The sequence below is a fragment of the Homo sapiens genome, chromosome 8 (genome assembly GCF_000001405.40).
Source record: "Homo sapiens chromosome 8, GRCh38.p14 Primary Assembly".
Lineage (NCBI taxonomy): Eukaryota > Metazoa > Chordata > Mammalia > Primates > Hominidae > Homo > Homo sapiens.
Genome location: NC_000008.11, coordinates 15,856,757 through 15,859,200, shown reverse-complemented (window position 1 = coordinate 15,859,200; position 2,444 = coordinate 15,856,757). Strand labels below are relative to the sequence as shown.

Below are 2,444 nucleotides of genomic sequence, written 5' to 3'. Positions count from 1 at the left end.
CTAATATACTAACTTGATTAAATATGAATTAATCATTTTCATAAAAATCAAACAGCTCTTGAAATAGGGTGTCATCTGTGCCCTTATAAAAGTAATGAGTGAGAGTAGGCCGGGCGCGGTGGCTCACGCCTGTAATCCCAGCACTTTGGAAGGCCGAGGCGGGCGGATCACGAGGTCAGAAGATCGAGACCATCCTGGCTAACACAGTGAAACCCCGTCTCTACTAAAAATACAAAAAAAAAAAATTAGGCGCGGTGGCGGGCGCCTGTAGCCCCAGCTACTCAGGAGGCTGAGGCAGGAGAATGGCGTGAACCCGGGAGGCGGAGCTTGCAGTGAGCTGAGATTGCGCCACTGCACTCCAGCCTGGGCGACAGAGCGAGACTCTGTCTCAAAAAAAAAAAAAAAAGAATGAGTGAGAGTCACAAATAAGTTAAGTCCAGCTTTTGATGAGTAGATTCTATTTCTGTACAAAATAATGATTGAAGTAATTGAAATATGAGTGCTGAAGAGCAGGGGAGGAGCAAAAGAGATCTAATTTAATAAGAGAACAATTTTCCATGATTAACAAAAGTCAAAGCAGCACATTTTAGGCATATTATTTGGATTTACTATGATAGTTGTTAAATAAATGGACAATGTTAATTTGTAAAAGGCTCAAATCCCACTGCTTGAAAAAGCCTATCATTATTGTGGGAGGGGGGATTCTTGAAATATGCTCCGCCTCTGTACCTTCTAATGTGCTCAGCCCCTACGCCTACTCTAACTTCCCTTTCTAACACGGTGAATCAAAATAATTAAGCCAGGAGTTGACTCCTATGAATACCTCGTGTGATCAAGTGCAAGGGTTTTGATGAAACAGGATGAAAATCAAATACTTTGCTATGTGATAATGGAAGGGGAGGCACGAGGGCAGGGGAGATGCAGGATAGTTGTTTTTTGTTTTTGTTTGTTTGTTTTCTTAAGAACTGGGTCCAAACTAAACTAACAAAGAAAATATTCTTTATTAAATCTCACTTTAGGCTGTTTGTCTCAAACAAGCAAAAAAATAAAAAATAAAAACACTTGTTTTGTGAGATATGTTCACTTTGCCAGTAACTAACAACCCTGAGTTCTTACACAAAAGAACCCTTGGGGACAAAAATCTATTCTTGCAAAGAGGTCTGAGTTTTACCCACAGAAAGGAGTAAAATGATTGACAAAGAGTCTTGACAAGGATGTCAGTTACGGGCAAGTCTTCATGTTGGATGTGAGCAGGGAGAGGAACACAGGAGACAGCAGATAAGGGCCAATGACAGAGAAAGCAAAACTGATTCCTGATCACTCTTCAGTTAATAAGACCACCCAGGGAGAAATGAAGTGAAACCCAGAAATACCCATGTCATATAATTTTAGTTTCTGAAAGAGTCTGAAAGAGAAAACTTTGTTGTCCTGAGAAGTACTATTTGAAACAGTATACTTTCTGTCTTCTTGACTTTTAATACACTGGTATCAATGTCCTAAATGGTAGCAAGAATGGCCTAAATAATGCCTTTCAAATTTGCAGCCTTTATGGTTATCCATCCATTCATTTTGTTGTAAAAACTTATTTTTTTTTTAATTTTTTTTTTTTTTTTTTTTTTTTTTTTGTAGAGATGGAGTCTCGTTAGATTGCCAGGGCTGGTTTTGAACTCCTGGCCTCAAGTGATAGTCCTTCCTCAGTCTCCCAAGGTGTTGGAAGGACAGATGTGAGCCACCATACCTGGTCTGTAAAAACTGTTTATATGCTAGGCTGTGGGAATACAGAAGTGAATATGGCAGTGACGTCAAGCAGCTTGCAAGTAGCAGGCACGCAAACAAAACCAGTGCGTGGTACGAGTAGCACACACTGAGCAGGGCCCTGTTGATACGTGGAATACGCAGGGTAAAGGCGCTTCTTCCTCCTGGGTTAGGGGTGAGGACATGTGAGAAAATTCTACCTTCGTAAAATCCTGTTTTGTTATTTTGTTTTTGGCATCTAATTCTAGCTGCCTTCTAATGTGAGTGCCCTTTCTGAAAGCCAAATTACTACAAAGATATTCTAGATATAATAAATTGTAAGTTACCATATTTTAGGAACAGTGTTTAGATCTCTGGGGGTTTTTGAGATAATTGCTGCAGTTTCCCCCAAAATTCTTAGACCAAGAAATGCTATGACTGGCTAATTCCTCCAGCCTTCTGGATTTTATTAGGTGTTCTAATGATCAGTGAGCAGGGCAGGTTTACACAAAGCCGCTCAGTTGGGAGGTCTCAGAATATCTGCTGAGGGCATGGCCCAGAACATGCTGAAATGTGCCAGTTGTAGCCAGAAGGGAGATTTTTCAATGCAGTGACTTTCATCACAGATACAGCTTTCTCCTGGCCATCAGAAAACTGGAAAGGAAAAGGAGAAGTGTGACAGAAACAAACACTGCATATACATCATCAGT

The 2,444-nt window shown here is 40.5% G+C and overlaps 1 annotated feature.

The window, feature by feature from the left end:
* Nucleotides 1,719-1,935: a silencer, noted in NCBI's record as "fragment chr8:15714775-15714991 (GRCh37/hg19 assembly coordinates)". NCBI's record gives its function as "represses an EF-1alpha promoter that drives an FKBP-Casp9 reporter gene in an ReSE screen in K562 erythroleukemia cells {active_cell/tissue: K562}" and the evidence as "EXISTENCE:reporter gene assay evidence [ECO:0000049][PMID:32094911]".